The following is a 21,392-nucleotide window of genomic DNA, read 5'->3' as shown; positions in this document are numbered from 1 at the left end:
AACTATGAAGTTCGCATGTCCAAAATCTATGGTAGTTGCTGTCTGATTTTTGATCACTGATGGTGATACAGATATTTATCATCAACTCACAACTTCCCAAATCTTTGAAAAGTCTTACTATTGATGGTTCAACTAGTAGAAACATGATGTAAAATATCTGAAAATAAAGTTTTTATTTATTAGAATGTAAATAATAATACAAATTGTAATAAGGTGTAAAAGTTCTTTCTTCACTGAAGCAGTACCATGTTGTCCTCTACCCCACAAATGCACTACTCCCCCGTGGTCCAATGTATTTTAAAAGTCTTGTAATTGCTATTAACTCAGACAAGTTTACTTAACTTGTTCTAAGCTTCTGGTATTTACTACAGTTTACTTTCAATCACTCAACCATCTCTGTTATATATGTTGTTTTCCATGAGAAATTTGTTTATTAGTAATTAAGATTCTTCAGGGATAGGAAAATATTTGAATAACTAAGTTTGTGCATAAACACATTAAGGTCAAATACCCATGATACTATTGTGTGTTTCTGTGTACTAGAGAAAAAAACTTCAAAAAAAATTTTAATGAATATACTTTAAATTAAAAACTGCTTTCATTAAACTGAGATAATCTTCCCTCAATGCATGAATACCTCCAGAATTCACATAGACCAAAGAATTGTATAAAATATAATAGCCTTAAAAATCTTATTTGTAGTTGGCACAGTGGCTCCCACCTGTAATCCCAGCACATTGGCAAGCCGAGGTGGGCAGATCACCTGAGGTCAGGAGTTCAAGAGCAGCCTGGCCAACCTGGTGAAACCCCATCTCTACTAGAAATAGAAAAATTAGCAGGGTATGGTAGCACGTGCATGTAGTATCAGCTACTCGAGGGGCTGAGGCAGGAGAATTGCTTGAACCTGAGAGGCAGAGGTGGTAATGAGCCAAGACTGAGCCACTGCACTCCAGCCTTGGTGACAGAACAAGACTCTGTCTCAAAAACACAAACAAACAAACAAAAAACCTAATTGTTCCCATATAAGTCTATGTTCATACAAGATCTGAAGAGTACACAACACCGTGAGACAGGACAGACATATATTTTAAAAGTTATATTCCTGATTTCTGTAAAAATAAAATAGTTGAATTTAAGCTTTCAAGACAAGTCAACGAAAAGAGCAAAAAATGCAAAAGTGAAACTCGAAAGGTCATTTCCCCATCAAGGGCTCATGATCACTGGACATTCACAAACTATACTGTTCAAAACATTAGATCTGAATTTTGATCCGAGTATCCCTTTAGTAGCAGTTTCATTCAAGGATGTCCAAGAGGTAAAATAAGACAATATCATTTGCTATTTTCAGTTTTCTTTTCTGAGAACAGCCCAGCATTCTTCTTCAGAGAAATGAATTGTCCTAACTTCATAGGCTAAAGGCTCATGAGTCATAGTTCTAAGGGCATTAATAAAATATGGTGGTGCATGCTTGTATTCTGAACTTTTCAGGTTTAAACTCTCATATAGTAAATGCTAATAGATACAAACTGATTAAAGAAAAGCCCTCTTAAACTGACATTATTTTTCTTTTTATTTCTTCATTTATCAGCAACAGGAGAGTCTAACTAAATGTGGTAAAGTGGTATGAGGGAATACAATGAACAGTGTAAAATGAATTAAACCAGAGATAATCACACCAATGTGGGTACAAGTGGAAAATATAATACAAAACACACCAAAGAAAGTGGCAGAAAGGTATATAAAGTATATAACCACTCACATACTATTTTAGGACACAAAAAATTCTGCATATTATTTCTGGGCATCACAATGTAGTTAAAGATTTCAAAAGGGCATTGAAATGAAAAACAACCAACTTATGATGTTGGTAGCCTCTATGCAATCATGTTTTAAAAACTTTAACACTAAAAAGGCTCAAAATCACCATTTTAAAAGACTGTGTCTACCAGTCATAAATGAATCATTACTTTCGTCATTTGTAATAGTGAAAGATGCCACAAGCGCACGCATACACACATCTATATATACACCTACACACACAGTCTTGCTCATTAGAACATCTGATAAGCTTCAGATCATCAGTGTAATAACACTAGCAGCAAGCCTCTGAAGTTAAAACAGAAACTGACACTTTAATAGGTAAAGCTTTCCTCTAGGTAAAGATCAGAACTCCAACTAGCACTTAACTCACTGGAAATATCTTAAGAGTCTCAAAATTCACTGCTTTGAATCCCTGACAAGTATAAAAATTTTATACTGAAAACTTCATGCTATTCAAAACATTAAAACAGAAACATCTGACTTAAAGCTTACATTTTTAAAATCTTTTTTATGCTTCTAAATTTGTTTTTATTCAAATATGGATACCAACAATAACATTTATGTCAATGCCTTCTGTTCAATATTGAACAAATAGAATTAGGAATAAGAATAATATGAGTACATCCAATCATTGAATGTACTTTATTTCCAGTATTACATCAAATGTACCTGCTCTCAATGTCTGTACTTTCTTTCTTTGTACTGCTCCTTTCACAGCAGGATCTTCCACTTCAGTGCTAGGCTGAATGGGTTTTAAAAGAAAACGATTCATAAATCATATATATTTTATACAACATGGAGTTAGTGATTCAAAAATATACATAATTAATTATCTTCAAGGAAGGATGTTTTGCAGGAGGCCCTACAAAGCAAAGGGGATATGTCATCAATTATATGTAAGTATGACAGGACCAACCAAACATTCATGCAGTGTTACTGTCGAGCTGAATTCTCAGGCCTGGCTATAAAAATATTTACTTAAGGTTTTGAGGGTTCTTCTTGGCTTCGTCTTTTCATTGCCTAGGACAGCAACATGACAGAAACACAATGAGGAAAATAGGAATATAGGATTCCCAAAATGCACAGTTTACATTTCAGTAGTGAGATTATGTTTCAAATGCCTATACTTAAAATAGAAAAGCATTGATATAACCGTGAACACGTGGACTAATGAGGAGAAAAGGGACCATTAAACAGAGGGGCAAATCAAACCTGAGAGAATCAATGTCAAAGCTGATGGTGAATGTACAGAGTATTTTAACTCCACACACCAGAGGCATTGCTGCCAGCACAGCACAAATAAATTCCCCTTGTCTTGTCACTGAGGAAATACTCAGTTGGGATGACAGTTCAGGTGAATGTGGGATTCACCTCTCATCAAAGAAAGGGTTCTACATTGATCAGCTAGGATACACACTTATGAAATAACAGCTAATCAAAGTACTCATTTTTCCCATGATCACATGGGCTACTGCAGCACCTACATTTCTCCTATCCCCTCATTTGGCCTTGAATTAGAGCTCCTTGATCCACTCATGCAAGGTGGTCCATAAAACACATCAAATAAACCATGTCGAATAAGCTTCTGATATCAAAATATTTATCAAAAAAGAAAACATTGAATGACCACAGACTTGCTGGATATTAATACATATTTATATTTCAAAATCAGTGCAGTATTTATTAAAAATGATAATTTTGGTTTTCATGGAATGAATTTTATGATTACTTCTAAAATTAACTAAGTTTGGTATATTATCTTACACTGTAAAGGACTTTTATAAAACAGCTATCATATCAAAGAACTGGCTGTCTCAAAAAAATTTCGCCAAAGCATCTATATGCAACTTAATCATATCTTATTCACTCATGTCAGTGAAACTTCTCTCCCTGAGGCCTGACAGTTATCAAGTGAAATGAGCTGCTGTGGTTTACCCCAACTCTAGCACTCCCTCCTGTCTCCAGTACTCTCCACAGCAATAACCTCTTTTGTGAGACTGGGCATATGCTGAAGCAACTGGAAGTGAGTTGTCTCAAGTTTACTTGGCTTTAACTCCCAAGACCCCAGCAAATGTCTTTCTTTCCTCCTTTTGTGTCCATTCACCATCCCTCTTCCTTTGAAAAAATGATTATCAGAACTGTCATCCTGATGCTTCCCTTCCTAACTGCTTTATATGGATGATTGTGACCACTTTTTTCATCTGTATTCAGCAGTAGTATACACCTGTAATCTCTCTTTTTTCATCTCATTTTCCTTCCCTTGTGGCTAGAATCATGCTCAGAAATAAAAGGAAATTAAAGCTTTCCCTGGATTCTGTTATTTTTTAAATTGCTCTCCAGTGGTTCTTTTTCCAGATTTCTCTAAAGGAAGGCTATTCCCTTGCTATTCAGAGCTGTGTCCAAGGACCAGCACAAACATCACCTGAGTGCTCATGAGAAATGCAGACTCCAATACCTGCTGAGTCAGAATGTGCACTTTCCAGAAGCTCCTCAACGAATTCATGACAATTTGAATGCCCTGTTCTACACTGGTGTGCTTCCATATTGGTTTACCCTAATTGGCCTTTTTGGCCTAGCCTCAACTTCTTTCCTATTATGTCCCTGAATTTAATACTACGTTATAAGCCATAATGTTTCTAATGAACTTTTAATCAGGCAAAGCTTCTCTAATTAATTTCTTCCCAATAAATCACCCAACACTATTCTTTTCATTTTCTATAAAAACAAATTATAGCCATACATGGCTGACCATTTACGGTGATGTTCATCTATGGTAGATAAAACACAGGTCTGCATGGTAAAGTACCTCAATCCTTAATGCCTCCCCAGTAGCAAGAATGACAGCAAGAGAAGGAAAATGTTACTGTAATTATATGACACATTTTGGTACTGGAAGCTCACTTTATCTTCCTTCCTATTTCTAACACCCTGTTCTTCCTTCTTCTACAGATCAATTTGACTTTACTACCCTCCATTACATACATCCACTTTTTTTTATTTATTCCATGTACACTCTGCCCTCCTCATTCTTTCTTTCTCTTTTATTCATTTCTTCTTCCCTCTCTCCTGACTTGCCTCAGGTCTTAGAGTATGTTAAAATGGAACTCATAACTCAGCTCCTTTAGTGGTACTTCCAATAGAATCAACTGCTGACCCTTGGTTAGAGACACCACTTATCACCTTTTCATTTCTCTTTTACTTATGATACAGTTAATAGGACATTTTCTTTAGCTATTAAACTCTATTAGTGCTCATATTTTAAAAGAAACATTCCATCAATGACTTTTTTTTTTTTTGAGATGGAGTCTCACTCTGTCACCCAGGCTGGAGTGCAGTGGCACGATCTCCGCTCACTGCAAGCTCCACCTCCCAGGTTCACACCATCCTCCTGCCTCAGCCTCCCGAGTTGCTGGGACTACAGGCACCCGCCACCATGCCCGGCTATTTTTTTGTGTTTTTAGTAGAGATGGGGTTTCACTATGTTAGCCAGGATGGTCTTGATCTCCTGACCTCATTACCCGCCAACGTCCGGCTCCCAAAGTGCTGGAATTACAGGCGTGAGCCACCGCGTCTGGTCTCCATCAAATGACTTTTTAAATAAAATACGGTTCTCACCTTCTCCTTTTCCATTGACTATTCTGTTTCCGTTTTCATGAGAAGGTCCACGTAAAGGCTCTGACACTTTCTGGGGGACACACTGCTAAGGTAATATCAAGAATTAGTTTCCATTTAAAATTATAATGAGTTGCATCAAGAGTTTCTTATCAATCTCTTTTTATGAAACTGGGTCTCACTCTGTCAACCCAGGGCTAGAATGCAGGGGCCTGATTATGGCTCACTGTGGTCTCAAACTCCTGACCTCAAGCAATCTTCCCACCTCAACTTCCTGAATAGCTGGAACTACAGGTGCATACCATCATGTCATGCTAATGTTTTTATTGTTATCTTTGTAGAGACAAGGCCTCATTATACCTCCCAGGCTGGTCTCAAGCTCCTGGGCTCAAGCAAATCTTCCACTTCTGCTTCCCAAAATGTTGAGATAAGCATTGTGCACCACCACACCCAGCCCTAATCAATTTCTTTAAATCAATCTCAATGTTGCCCAGGCATGGTGGCTCACACCTGTAATCTCAGCCCTTTGCAAGGCCAAGGTGGGTGGATTGCTTGAGTTCAGGAGTTGGAGACCAGCCTGGGCAACATAATGAGGACACATCTCTACACAAAAAATACCAAAAGGAGTCAGGCATGATGGTGTGTGCCTGTAGTCCCAGCTGCTTGGGAAGCTGATGTGGGAGGATCACTTGAGCCTGAGAGGTGGATACAGCAGTGAGCCAAGATCATGCCACTACACTGCAGCATGGACAACAGAGCTAGACCCTGCCTCCCCAAAAATTTCAATTTAAAATGTGAGAACAAAGAGAGATACAAACAAAAAACAAGCCTAATTAGTCAATGAAATATGAGCTTAAGCCAAGAAAGAAAACGAAAAACATGAAGTACAATAAAGTACATGGGGAAATAGATCTATAACAGAGCCTTCGGTCTTTCATAACTCTGATAATACTAATTAGTATTTATGCTGCAATTAGTTTTTTGTAAGTACTTCTGTGATAGTGTTTCTTACTATAAGACATTCAATTAGCTAAATATGGTCATCTACCATTACCTGAAAGAACATTATTATAACAGAGAGAGAAAACTGGAACTTTCCATCAACTTTCCACCCAGAAAAAGAATTGGTCACCAGAATTCTAAAGAGTAATGTATGGCAGACACATGAAAAAATGCTCATCATCACTGGCCATCAGAGAAATGCAAATTGAAACCACTATGAGATATCATTTCACACCAGTTAGAATGGCAATCATTAAAAAGTCAGGAAACAACAGGTGCTGGAGAGGATGTGGAGAAATAGGAACACTTTTACACTGTTGGTGGGACTGTAAACTAGTTCAACCATTGTGGAAGACAGTGTGGAGATTCCTCAAGGATCAAGAATTAGAAATACCATTTGATCCAGCCATCCCATTACTGGATATATATGCAAAGGATTATAAATCATGCTGCTATAAAGACACATGCACATGTATGTTTATTGTGGCACTATTCACAATAGCAAAGACTTGGAACCAACCCATATGCCCATCAATGATAGACTGGATTAAGAAAATGTGGCACTTACACACCATGGAATACTATGCAGCATAAAAAATGATGAGTTCATGTCCTTTGTAGGGACATGGATGAAGCTGGAAACCATCATTCTGAGCAAACTGTTGCAAGGACAGAAAACCAAACACCACATGTTCTCACTCATAGGTGGGAACTGAACAATGAGAACACTTGGACACAGGATGGGGAACATCACACACCAGGGCCTGTCATGGGGTGGGGGGAGAGGGGAGGAATAGCATTAGGAGATATGCCTAATATAAATGACGAGTTAATGGGTGCAGCACACCAACATGGCACATGTATACATATTTAACAAACCTGCACGTTGTGCACATGTACCCTAGAACTTAAAGTATAATAATAATAATAAAGAGTAATGTATGGCTTGAAACGGTATATTTAATGGAACATGAGTTGGGTCTAATAAAAACCTTAAGAAATGTTAATCTAAAATCTCAATGTTAAGATTCCAGTTGAATGATACTAGAAAATATATTGTAACCCTCTTTGCTACCGATGACCTATTTCTCTTTTATTTCCTTTTTAATTATTGCATAATTTCTCAACATAACATGTCAAAACTTATACACCCTTAAATATTAAAAAATAATACAATGTAAGCAATGTTTTAAATACAATATTTAATGATTAGATACATTAGGTTTATTATATTACTTATAACATTCCATTATATAAAAATTCATTTGTTTATTTATTCAGATTAAACAACTATTAAGGCTGAATGTCTCATGTCTGTAACCCCAGCACTTTGAGAGGCTGAGGCGAGCAGAACACTTGAGCCCAACAGTTAAAGAAGAGCCTGGGTAACAAGGCAAAACCCTATCTCTACAAAACTCAGCCCAGCATGGTGACACAGGTCTATGGTGACATAGCTCTATTGTTTCAACTACTTGGATGGCTGAGGTGTGAGGATCACCTGAGCCTAGGAAATGGAGATTGGAGTGAGCCAAGATCTCACCAGTGCCCTCCAGCCTGGGTGACAGAGTGAAACCCCATCTCAAAAAACAACAAGTAAAATGCTTCTTACATGGAAGACTGTCTTCTAGGTACTCCAGGATACACACAAATATGTTTACTGACCTCTAGTAGCTTATGGTATGCAGGAGCTTCCAATGATGGGACAGTCCTATTTATTATCTCAGAAATATTCCTCTTTGCTGGATTCTTTTGAGCATTCTACCATTCTAGCCTAGCCCCTACTCCAGAATTAGGAGGGCATTGACCCCCAACAGGTATTTCTCCCCTTGACCCCCTGGAAGTACCTCTCCTGAATCCATCTGTATTACTTGCATCAGGAGTTTCAATTACTTGAGCCCATCACAGCCTAACAAAAAATAATCAAAAACATACAATCTAAGCACTACCTGTTACAATTATATTAGATATTTACTTCACCCTCCTACAAGTCTCAGAATACTTCAAAGCTCCCTTTGCTATTTCTGATGGTATTTATGGCTCAACATTTTTTATAGCTACAGGCTTTCACAGAATTCACGTCATTATTGGATCAACATTCCTCAGTCTGCCTTCTCCGCCAATTAAAATACCACTTTACATCTAGTCATCACTTTGCCTTTGAAGCCGCTGCCTGATATCGACACTTTGTAGATGTAGTATGACTATTCTTGTATGTTTCTACTTATTGATGAGGATCTTACTCTTTTAGTATAAATAGTACCATGATTTCCAAAGTTTTGATAGCATCCGAAAAACAGTAATTCACCTAACATTAACCCTAGTAATCAACACCCTATTAGCCCTGTTACTAATAATTATTACATTTTGGCTCCCACAACTTAATATATATATGTAGAGAGAGATAAAAATATATATATATGTATAAAATAAATATATATAGAAAAGTCTAGCCCTTATGAATGCAGATTTGACCCTCTATCCTCTGCCCACATTCCCTTCTCCATAAAATTCTTTCTAGTAGCCATCACATTTCCCCTATTTGAGTTAGAACTCGCCCTACTACTACCCTTACTGTGAGTCCTTCAAACAATCTGATACTAATAATCCCTGCGATATGTGTAGTGACTTCATACTTCACCCCCCCGGATATTACGGCCAATATCAGAGTGGAGTGTGCACCCCCTGCAATATGGGGAGTGATATCATCCTCTCCCCACTGGATGTTATGGACAAAATCGCAGGAGGTTTACTTTCTCTAGGTTATGGGGAAAAATATCCTCCTGTCCCCGCCTGGATGTTAGACATATTTAGAGGGGGTTGTCCACCCCCTGTGATATGGGGAGTAGTAATATCCTCTCCTGTCCTGGATGTTATGGACAATATATAGGGAGATGTACAATCCCTTCGATATGGGGAGTAATATCATCCTCTTCCCCCTAAACGTTACGAACAGTATCACAGGGGGGTGTACACCCCCTGCAATATCTGGAGTAGTATCATCCCCTTCTTCCCTAAATGTTACAGAGACTATCACAGGGGTGTGTACACCTTCTGAAACATGGGAATAATATTCTCTTCCTCTCTGGATGTTATTATGGACAACATTACAGCCGTGTGCACCCTCTATGATATGCAGAGTAATATCATCCTCTACCCCCCGGATGTAAGTGACAATACCACAAACGGGTTTACATCCCCCGTGATATGGGGAGTAATAACATCCTCTTCCCCACTGGATATTAACAATATCACTTGGGGATGTACAACCCCTGTGATATTCGGAATAATATCTTCTAATCCACTGAAAATTATAAACAATATCACCAGTGTACACTCCCTGTGATATTGGAAGTAATATCATCCTCTAATCCCCTAAAAATTATGAACAGTATCACAGGGTAGTGTATACTTCCTACTATATTGGGAGTAATATCATCCTGTCGTCTTCTAAATATTATGAACAATATTACAGGGGATGTAACACTCCCTGTGATATGTGGAGTAATATCATCCTCTCCTTCCCTAAATATTGTGAACAATATCACAGGACGTTGTACACAATCTGCGATATTGTTTGTAGTATCCAGTGGGAAAGAGGATGCTATTACTCCCCATATCACAGGGGGTGTACACCCCCACTGTGATATATTCAATAACATCCAGGAGTAATATTACTGACAAAATTGCAGGGGGTGTAAACCCCACCTGTGATACCATTCCTAATATCCCGGGGAAGACAGGATGATATTATTCCCAATATTGCAGGGGGTGTACACCCACCCTATGATATTGTTATTAATACCCAGGAGGGGAGACAATGGCATTACTCACAGTATCAAAGAGGTTGTACAGCCCCCCTGTGATAGTTTCTAATATCCAGGGGATGTATACCACCCTTGTGATATTGTTTCTAATATGTAGGGGGAAGGACAATGATATTACTGTCCGTATCACAGGGGGTGTACAACAAGCCCCCCGGGATATCATTCCTAATATCCATGGGAAGAAAGAATATTATAATATCACATAAGTTGTACATCCCCTCTGTGATATTGTTCCTAATATCAAAGACAGAAGGGTATGATGTTCTTCCCAAAATCACAGGAAGTGTATACACACCCTGTGCTATTTTTCCTAATATCGAGAGTGAGAGACAATGATACTTCCAATATCATAAGGAGTGTACACTCTCCCCGTGATACCAGGTGGGGAAATGTTGATATTACTCCAAATGTCACAGTGGGTGTACACACGTTTTGCGATATTGTTCCTAATATCAAGTGGGGAGGAGGATTGTATTACTCCCACCATATTACTCCCTACACCCCATTATACTGTTCTTAATATCCAGATTTGGAGAGGATGATATTACTCCCAAAATCTCAGGAGGTGTAGACCCCTTCTGTGATACTGTTTCTTATATCCAGGGGAAGAATAGATGATAGTACTCCCAACAGTGCAGGGTGTTACACGCCACCCCCCATGATATTGTCTCTAATATCAAGTTGGGGAGAGGGTGATATTGCTCCAAATAGTGTAAAGGGTGCACACCAGCACTGTGATATTATTCCTAGTATCCAGAGAAGGAGAGAATGGTATTATTTTTAATATCACAGAGGGTGGACACCCCCCTTGTGATACTGCTCCTAACATCCAAGGGGTAGAGGATGAAATTACTCCCAATATCACAGTGGGTATACACCCCTCCGTTGTATTGTTCCTAATATCCAGGGGGTATAGGATGATAGTACTATAAATATCACAAGGGGTGTACACCCCTTCTGATGTTGTTACTAATATCCGTGGGGGGAGTCGATGATATTACTTCCAATATCACAGGGCATGTACACCCCCCTTGTGATATTGTTCCTAATATCCTGGGAGGAGACTACAATATTACTGGCAATATCGCAGGGTGTGTGCATTCCCGTGATATTGTTCCTAATGTCCAGCAAGGGAGAAAATATTACTCCCAATATGGCGGGCGTGTACACTTCCCATGCGATATCGTTCCTAATATCCATGGGGGAAAAGGATGATATTACTCTAAATGGCGCAGGAAGTGTAAACCGCCCCTGTGATAATGTTCTCAATATCCATGGGGGGAGAGAATGATATTACTCCCAATATCACAGGTGGTGTACACCCCTCCTGTTATATTATTCCTAATATCCAAGTTGGATGAGAATAATATTACAGGTAAAATAGCAGGGGGTGTACACTCTGCCTGTGATATTGTTCCTAATATCCCAGGGAAGAGTGAACAATATTACTCTCAATATCACAGGATGTGTACACCCCCTTTGTGATATTGTTCCTAATATCCATAGGGGGAGGGGGTGATACCACTCCCAATAGTGCAGAAAAGGTACAGCCCCGCTGTGATATCATTCCTAATATCCAGAGGGGACAGGATGATATTACTCCCAATATCACAGAGGGCATACACCCCCTCCCCATGATATTGTTCATAATACCCAGGGGGTGGAGGATGATATTACTCCCAATATCGCAGTGGGTGTACACCCACCCTGTGATATTGTTCCTAATATCCATGTGGAAAGGGTATAAAGTTACTCCCAATATCACAGGGGTTGTACAACCCCCTTGTGATATTGTTCCTTATATTCGGGGGAGAGACAATGATATAGCTGTCCATATTGCAGGTGGTGTACCACCCCTGGGAATTTGTTCCTAATATTCAGTGGGGAAGATGATATTAATTAAAATGTCACGGGGGGTATAAAACCCCTTTGTGATATTATTCCTAATATCCAGGGATGAAAGAATATTATTCCCAATATCGCAGGGGATGTACACCCCTCTCTGATACTTTTTCTAATATCCCTTTGGGAAGTCTATAATATTACTGGCAATATCATAAGGAGTGTATACCCCCCGTTATATTTTTCCTTATGTCCAGCAAGGGAGAAAATATTAATCCCAATATGGAACAGGGTGTACACACCCATGAGGTATTGTTCCTAATATCCAGGGAGGGAAAGGATGATATTACTCCCAATGTTGCAGTGGTGTATAACCCCCCGTGATATTGTTCCTAATATCTAGGTGGGGAAAGTACAGTATTACTCCCAATATGGCAGGGGTTGTACACCACCTTTGTGATATTGTTCTACATATCCATGGGGAAAGAAAATGATAGTACTCCATAATATCACAGGTGGTGTACAACCCCTTGTGATACTGTTTCTAATATCCATGTTGGGGGAGGATATTACTCCCAATATTGCAGGTGTTGCACAGACCCCCTTTGATATTGCTTGTACTATGCAGGGTGTGGGGGGAGAGGATGATATTGGGAGTAATATCACCCTCTCTCCCCGGATATTAAAAGCAATATTCAGGGTGGTCGACACTTCCTGCAATATTGAGTATAATATCCTCTCCCAACCTGGATATTAGGAACAATATCACAGGGGCATGTACACTCCCTTCCTTTCACCATATAAAAAAATCAACTCAAGATGGATGAAGGACTTATGTAAGACCCAAAACTATATAAACCCTAGAAGAAAACTTAGGAAATATCATTCTGGACATAGACGCAGGCAAATATTTCATGATGAAGATTCCAAAAGCAATTGCAACAAGAAGAATTGATGAGTGGGACCTAATGAAACTAAAGAGCTTCAGCACAGCAAAAGAAACTATCAACAGAGAACACCCTACAGAACAGAAGAAAATATTTTCAAATTACATATCTGAAAAAGGTCTAATACTTAGCATGTATAAAGAATCAATAAGCAAAAAACAAACCCACTACAAATAGGCAAAGAACATGAGCCCCCACATTCACCATCCTCAAGTCCATGTGCAACTTCTTTCTGAATGCTGGACAAGGACTTGGATACCAAGAGGGCACTGAAAGGGTTAACACTTAAGCCGTCTGTGAATTCTTTTTTCAAAATACAACGTATGTATGGCAAACAACCGTATGAAAAAATACTCAACATCACTAATCATCAGAAAATCAGAACCATGAGATACCATATCACACCGGCCAGAATGGCTATTATTAAAAAATCAAAACATAACAGACGGTGCCGAGTTTGTGGAAAAAAGGGAATGCTTATACACTGCTGGTGGTGATATAGAAAGGAGACAGGGAAATACTGGGTAGAAGAGAGTGGTTCCCTGGCAAAGCCCTGCCCACAAGCCTGGAAACCCATGGCCCTAAATGGGAACAGGCATTCCTGCTTTTGCACCCAAAAGTTGTCTTTCAGCTCACCATGCACCCCCTGTCCTGTACCCATATATGCCCCAGACCCCAGGCTCCAGAAGCAGACAAGCAGATGAGGAGATGAACAGAAGAGCAGAATTGCAGAATGATGTGGCAGAAAGAAGAGAAGGAGCATCTGAATGCCAAGAGGAGTTTGGCTGGCAGTGGTTGTAGAGATCAGCCTCTGGATGGCAAGCAGATGAGGAGATGAACAGAAGAGCAGAATTGCAGAATGATGTGGCAGAAAGAAGAGAAGGAGCATCTGAATGCCTAGAGGAGTTTGGCTGGCAGTGGTTGGAGAGATCAGCCTCTGGATGGCAAAGCTCCGGGGGAAGATCATCTTCCCATTCCATCCCCTTTCCAGCTCCCCATCCATCCCATTGAGTGCCACCTCCACCACTCAATAAAACCCCCACATTCACCATCCTCAAGTCTGTGTGCAACTTAATTCTTTCTGGATGCTGGACAAGGAACTGGGTACCAAGAGGGCACTGAACAGGTTAACACTTAAGCCGTCTGTGGATGGCAAAGCTAAAAGAGTGCACTGTAACACATGCCCACTTGGGCTGTGGGAGTCGCAGGAACCCACCCCTAGACAGTACCATGGCCACTTGCCCTGCCTATTGCACCTGCCTGTCTGCATGCTCCCCTGCCCAGTAAGGGGTTTGACAGCACACACGGTGGCCAGACAAGCCACACCCCTGTTGCACATCCTGCCAAGGGGAGTCAGGGAAGTCTCCAGTTTCATCAGGAATGTAAATTTGTTCAGCCATTGTGGAAAGCAGTTTGGAGATTTCTGAAATAACTTAAAACAGAACTACCATTCAACCCAGCAATCCCATTATTGGGTATATACCCAAAGGAATATAAATCATTCTGTCATAGACATATGCACGCATATTTTCATTATAACACTATTCACAATAGCAAAGACACGGAATCAACTTAGATGCCTGTTAACAGAAGACTGGATTAAAAAAATGCAGCGTACATACACCATGGAATACTACACACCTATAAAATAGGATGAAATAATGTCTTTTGCAGCAACATGAATGGAGCTGGAGACCATTATTCTAAGTGAATTAATGAAGGAACAGAAAACCAAACAAACACTGCATGTTCTCACTTATAAGTGGGGGCTAAACATTGAGTCCACATGGACACAGAGAAGGGAACAATAGACACAAGGTCTACTGTGGGTGGAGGGTTGGTGGAGAGTGAGGATCAAAAAACTCCCTATTAGATATTACGTTCACTACCTGGATGACTACCTAATCTGTACACCAAATCCCATTGACACACATTTTACCCATATAATAAACCTGCACATGTACCCGCTGAACCTAAAATAAATGTTGGAAGGAAATAAAGTTACAACCAACTCTTGTACTATGAGGAAACAATCATATGTGTTGACAAAAAATCAGCTACTAATAGATTTATAATAGTATATATGTAGCAGAAAAATATCAGATATAACTTATATACCCAAAAGTATGACTTAAAAACAGCATGACAATCTTTATGATGGGATATTGTGAAACTACTAGAAGCACATTTTCAGAGATTATTTATTAACATATGATAATGACTACATTGAGTGGTTTTTAGAAGCATGAATTGAAACCATGTATAAGCATGACTTTATTGAACTTATATATAACATTACACACACATTTACATAATTATAAAATAAGTATGCTCATGTTCATAATATGTATTTATTTATATTCATATGTAAGGCCAATAGGAAGTAATCTCTGTATCTGAGTTATTATTTCATAAATAATTTATGCTTGTTCTGTGAAAATAAAAGCACTGCTATGGATCTTCCAAGTATCCTGAAAGGATACCGTTTATAATTAAACAATAACAATTTTAGAAATAATTATTTTAAATAAGGCTATGATAAATCTGGTTTCATTGCACACTTTAACTTTGGAACATTTCATGAAGCGTCCCTTGATCACGACTCTCATATTCCGGAGTTTTTTGAGATCAAAATGGGACAATCAGTATGAATCTATTTTTTAGACATGCAAATGGATAACTTTAAATAGCAGTAGCGATATAATCAGAGTGCACAGTTGCTCTGGGACAAAACTTGGAAATCAGCATATTTTTAGATTCTTAATGTTTTACACACTTTAGCATGCCACAGCACCATTACATACTCATTTTTCTACTAGAATACCTTGGTAAAAATTCACAGTAGAGATCAGGCTTGTCCTTCATACATTAACTAATCAAGCAGGAAAGTGCAAATGAGAACACAGTGCCAAATATAGGCACCACATGGAAACAAGCATGGAACTGCCAGGAAGCCATTTTTGTAGCTTTGTAGCCCAATTATATTTTTCCTAATGTATTGCACACAAAACTTGGGGGAAAAAAAAGAGGCAGAGAGAAAACAGGTTATATCAGCTCTATCTCACAATCCACAAGTTCATCCTATTAGAGGAGTAACTATGTAAAACAAATTTTATCTGTTGAATGTCCTATTTAGTTAATCGCAAAACTGTATGAGAACACACTTGTGACTTATTTAGCAGCTTGTTTGTTCGCTTTCCACTGGCTTCACAAATGTCCTTTGGAAATAGAATGTATATTTGGAACCCTGTACACCTTTTCTTTCTCCAGTAACCTGTTGTCACTTCCATCACTAAGGTGACAGAAGCAACTAGGGGCAATGCATTTGTAGCACACCTGGGTCAGAGGTATCCTCCAGGGGAAGGATCAGACCTGCTTGAAAGCATGTCGTTGGAATTGGGAGGCTTCTAGTAGCTATAACATAAGCACTGATGTTTACTGTTCCCTGCCCTCAACTTTGATCACTCTGGGAAAAGTTTTTTTTTTTTAAATCCATTGTATTGAAACATAATTTACATAAAATAAATACTATTTTAAAGTGCACAGTTTGCTGAGTTTTGCCAGATGTAACCATCCAGGTGAATAAAATTGATTAAACTGATCTTTCAAATAATAAATTAACTTTGCAATCTTGCTAGAAAATTAATTTGTTCACAGTTTATTATCCATTCTATGTACTGCTACATTCAATTGGTTATTATGTTTTAAGGACTTTTGAGTCTATGTTTATGAGGGATAAACATCAAAGTTGTATAATGCCTTTGTCTCGATTTGGAATCGGCAATACTGGGTTCATAAAATAAGATAGGAAATGTCCCTTTAAATTTTCTTTTTTTTTTTTTTTTTTTTTTGAGACGGAGATTCACTCTTGTTGCCCAGGCTGGAGTGCAATGGCACAATTTAGGCTCTCCACAATCTCTGCCTCCCAGATTCAAGCTATTCTCCTGCCTCTGTCTCCCAAGGAGCTGGGATTACAGGTAAGCGCCACCACACCCTGCTAATTATGTACTTTTAGTAGAGACGGGGGTTTCTCCTTGCTGGTCAGGTTGGTCTCAAACTCCTGACCCCAGGTGATCTGCCAGTCTTGGCCTCCCAAAGTGCTGGGATTACATGTGTGAGCCACTGTGCCTGGCCCTTAAATTCTATTTCTTAAAAAGAGTCCGTTCAAGATTGATATTATAGATATTCCTTAACTTACAATTGTCTTATGTCTTAATGAACTCATCCTAAATTGAAAATATTGTAAGTCTAAAACGCATTTAATATATTTAACCTACTGAATATCATGACTTAGCCTCGCCTACCTTAAACTTGCTCAGAACACTTACATTATCCTACAATTGGGCAAAATCATCTACCACAAGACCCATTTTAAAATATTCAGTATCTCATGAAATTTATTGAAAACTACACTGATAGTGAAAAACTGGTCATATTGATGCTCATCATTAATGTACACAGATGAAAGCACCATTATCAAGTCAGAAGAGCACAAGTCAAACCACTGTAAGTTGAGGACTCTCTGTACTTTCTTAAATGTTTGATAGAATTCACCTAAGAAAGCATGTAGCCTGTAAGTATAGAAATCTTTTTAAATTAAAAAAAATTCTTCAATACATAGAGAAGCTATTACTTTTTCTATTTCATTTTGCATCAGTTTTAAGAATTAGTTTTACAAATAATTTCCCATGTTATTTTAATTGTCAAATGTATTGGCCTAAAGTTTTCATAATTATATTGATGTCTGTAGGTTCTGTAGTTACATCTTCTATTTAATTCCCATTATCTACATTATGTAGCTTCTCTAAATTTTTTCGAGATAAATCTTGCTAGCCATTGTTTATTAAAAAAATTTTTTTCAAAGAACCAATTTGTGGGTATATTAATTAGCTCCACCTTTTGTTATTTGCTATGTTGTTGGTTTACATTTTTATCTTTATCATCTTCCTTCTTCTTAATTTGGATATACTTTGCTCATTTTTTAGCCTCTTAAAAAAGAACCTAAAGGTCATTGATTGAAGCCTTTTATTTTCAGTATATTACATCTATAAATGTACCTTTAAGAAAAGATTTATCTGCATCCCACATTTTATTAAGTTTTTAAAAAATTTTCTTTCAGTTTAAACTATTTTTTTTTTTGTGTGTGAAACTTTTCTTGGCCAATGGGTTTTTCTGAAGTATTTTGTTTAATGTTCAAATGTTGGGGTGTTATTGTACATATCCTACTGTTGTCCATCTCTGGTTCATGATACAATGCATGTTCTCCATTGCACTTAGATAACATGCCTCCATGTCTCTGGAGAATTCCTCAGTCTTTCTAAAATGCTTTTGATGAATACTGGCAGTTATTTTGTAGAATGTCCCTCCTCAATTTCAGTTAGTCTGATGTTTTCTCACGGTTAGGACTAAAGTTATACATTTTGTCTAAGAATACCATAGAATTGATGTTTTGTCCTACTCAGTGCATCATATAAGAAGTTACATGAAGTTCATTTATCTTATTATTAGTAACGTTAACTTTGATCACTTGGCTAAGTTGACATCTCCACTTTGAAGTTACTATTCTATAATTATGTTGTGGGAAGATACTTTCATATTATGCAAATATGTTCTTTCCCAACATATATTCACCACTAATCTTAGCATCCCTCCAAGGTTCTTTCTTGCAACAATTATTACTGTGATATTTGCAAAGTGATGATTCTTATATTTTATGTCTCCTACATTTAATGAAATTTTACTGTAATAAATACTACCCATTCTCAATCTTTGGTTTATTATTTATGTCAATATGGATTTTTTTTTAGTTGGAGTCTTGTTTTGTCATCCAGGCTGTTGTGCAATGGTGCGATTTCCGCTCACTGCACTTCCACCTTCCGGGATTCAAGCCATTCTCCTGCCTCAGCCTCCAGAGTAGCTGGGACTACAGGCATGGGCCACCATGCCCGGCTAATTTTTGTATTTTTAGTAGAGGCAGGGATTCACCACATTGGTCAGGCTGGTCTCGAACTCCTGACCTCAAGTGACCTGCCCGCCTCTGCCTTCCAAAGTTCTGGGAATACAGGCATCAGCAACCGCACCTGGCCTGGATTAATTGAAAATTTTCTTCTGTAGATTGTAATATATTACTATTGTTATCTATTTTATTGCCCCAATTTTCTCAAATTTGGCTATGGAAGTTTATTCAAAATGGATCTGTTTCCCTTTCACATTTTCCCCATTTTGTGAGCATTTCCTTACTTCCTAACATGACAAAATATTTCAAACTAATGTTGTATTTTCCCTGGCCAATCCTGATATCAAATATGTCCCCAAGGAGCCTTGGTTCCTTTAATTGGAGAATGGTGTTCTCATTGTTACTGGGATGATGTTGTTTCTAGGCCCTTTTGTTAGAGGAGCTAGAAAATATATGTATGTATACTCACACATTTATACACATCTGTACTTATTTATACAATTATCCATCTGTATGTATACTGCACAGCTCCTTGAATATTCTAAAAACCACTCAATTGTATACTTTCTTTTTTTCTTTAGTTATTTAAAGACAGGGTCTCCTTTTGTCACCCATGCTGTAGTGCAGTGGTGCCATCTGGTCTCACTGCAACCTATGGCTTCTGGGCTCAAGTGATCTTCCAGTCTCATGTCCCCAAGTAGTTGGGACTACAGGCATGAGCCACCACATCCAGCTAATTTTTGTATTTTTGCTAGAGATGCTGTTTTGCCATGTTGCCCAGGCTAGTCGCAAACTCCTGAACACAAGCGATCCACCTGCCTCAGCTGCCCAAAGTCTTAGCGTTATAGGAATTAGCCACTGCACCTGGCCTGAATTGCGTACTTTGATAAATGAATTGCATGATACGTTAACCATATTTCAATAACGTTATTATTTTAAAAATGGCTGGGCATGGCGTGGTGACTCACGCCTCTGATCTCAGCACACTGGGAGGCCAAGGTGGGTGGATTGCCTGATTTCAGGAGTTCGAGACCAGTCTGGCCAACATACTGAAACTCTGTCTCTACTAAAAATACAAAAATATTAGCTGAGAGTGGTGACATGGGCCTGTAATTCCAGCTAGTCTGGAGGCTGAGGCAGGGGAGTTGCTTGAACCAGGGAGGTGGAGGTTGCAGTCAGCTGAGATCACACCACTGCATTCCAGCCTGCATGACAGAGTAAGAGTCCGTCTCCAAAAGAAAGAAAGAAAAAGAAAATGGGCATTGAACACAGGTGGCTCCCACCTACATATAATCCAAGCACTTTGGGAAGCTGAGGCAGAATGATCACTTGAGGCCAGGAGTCTGACAACATCCTGAGATTTAGCCTTTAAAATGAACCAGTAAAAGAAAGTAAATTGGTGAGATGCAGTGGTTCATGCCCATAATCCCAGCATTTTGTGAAGTTGAGGTGGGAGGATCACGTGAGCCCAGAAATTTGAGACCAGCCTGGGCAACATAACAAGACCCCATCTCTACAAAAAGTAAAAGAACATAGCCAGATATGCTGGTACAGGCCTATAATCTCAGCTATTTGGGAGGCTGAGGTGGGAGGATCACTTGAGCCCAGGAGTCCCATGCTACAGTGAGCTTTGATCACACCACTGCATTCCAGCCTGGCAACAGACTGAGACCCTGTATCTCAGAAAAAAAAGAAAACAATCTGTTTTTCTGAGTTCTGCAAGCTGTCCGAGCAAATGATTCCACCCACCAATGAGGGTCATTAAACCTTGTTTTCTAACTGGTTGGTCAAAACTACATGTAACAACCCAAGACTTGCAATTGGCATGTGGAGTGAGAGTAGACTCCTGGGACTGAGCGCCCCTCCTGCGGGGTCTGCACTAACTCCAGGGAGTGTCAGGATAGAATTGTGGGATACCCAGTTGGGATCCAGATTGTCTGAAAATCAGTGTAGAAACTCCACATGCACATTTGGTCAGAGGTGTTTGACCGTAACTACTATTCACGAAAAAGGTCTTCTCATTAGAACTAAAAATCACAAAATTGTAAGTTCTACAAAAACAAATCAACCTTATCTACCGCCCAGTCCTACTGAAATACAGAATGTGAGAACAGAAGGTCTGACCATGGAGTCGAGAGCTGACAGGAATGTCACCACCATCCTGCTCTCCAAGGACTCCTCATCTTCAACAGACTCCTCATCTTCAATGGGCAGGGTGGAAACTGCAACTTGTGCCATGATCCTTGCACAAGAAAAGTAGTAAGAAAATGAGTGGTAGAAATCCAGTGTCCTAAACTCACATCCAGAGCTGTGAGAGTTTTTTACTGGCTGGATAATTCACAGTTTTCTTGAATCAGGGGAAAAATAAGACTCAGAAACTAGGAATTC

At 38.8% G+C, this 21,392-nt stretch overlaps 1 pseudogene; it reads right to left on the bottom strand.

The window, feature by feature from the left end:
• LOC100996316 (putative ankyrin repeat domain-containing protein 20A2) overlaps window positions 1-21,385 on the bottom strand; it is a 32,857-nt pseudogene extending 11,472 nt beyond the window's left edge.
• Window positions 21,386-21,392: the final 7 nt, after the last annotated feature.

Source organism: Homo sapiens, unplaced genomic scaffold (genome assembly GCF_000001405.40).
Source record: "Homo sapiens unplaced genomic scaffold, GRCh38.p14 Primary Assembly HSCHRUN_RANDOM_CTG28".
Taxonomy (NCBI): Eukaryota; Metazoa; Chordata; class Mammalia; order Primates; family Hominidae; genus Homo; species Homo sapiens.
This window is presented reverse-complemented; position numbering and strand designations above follow the sequence as displayed.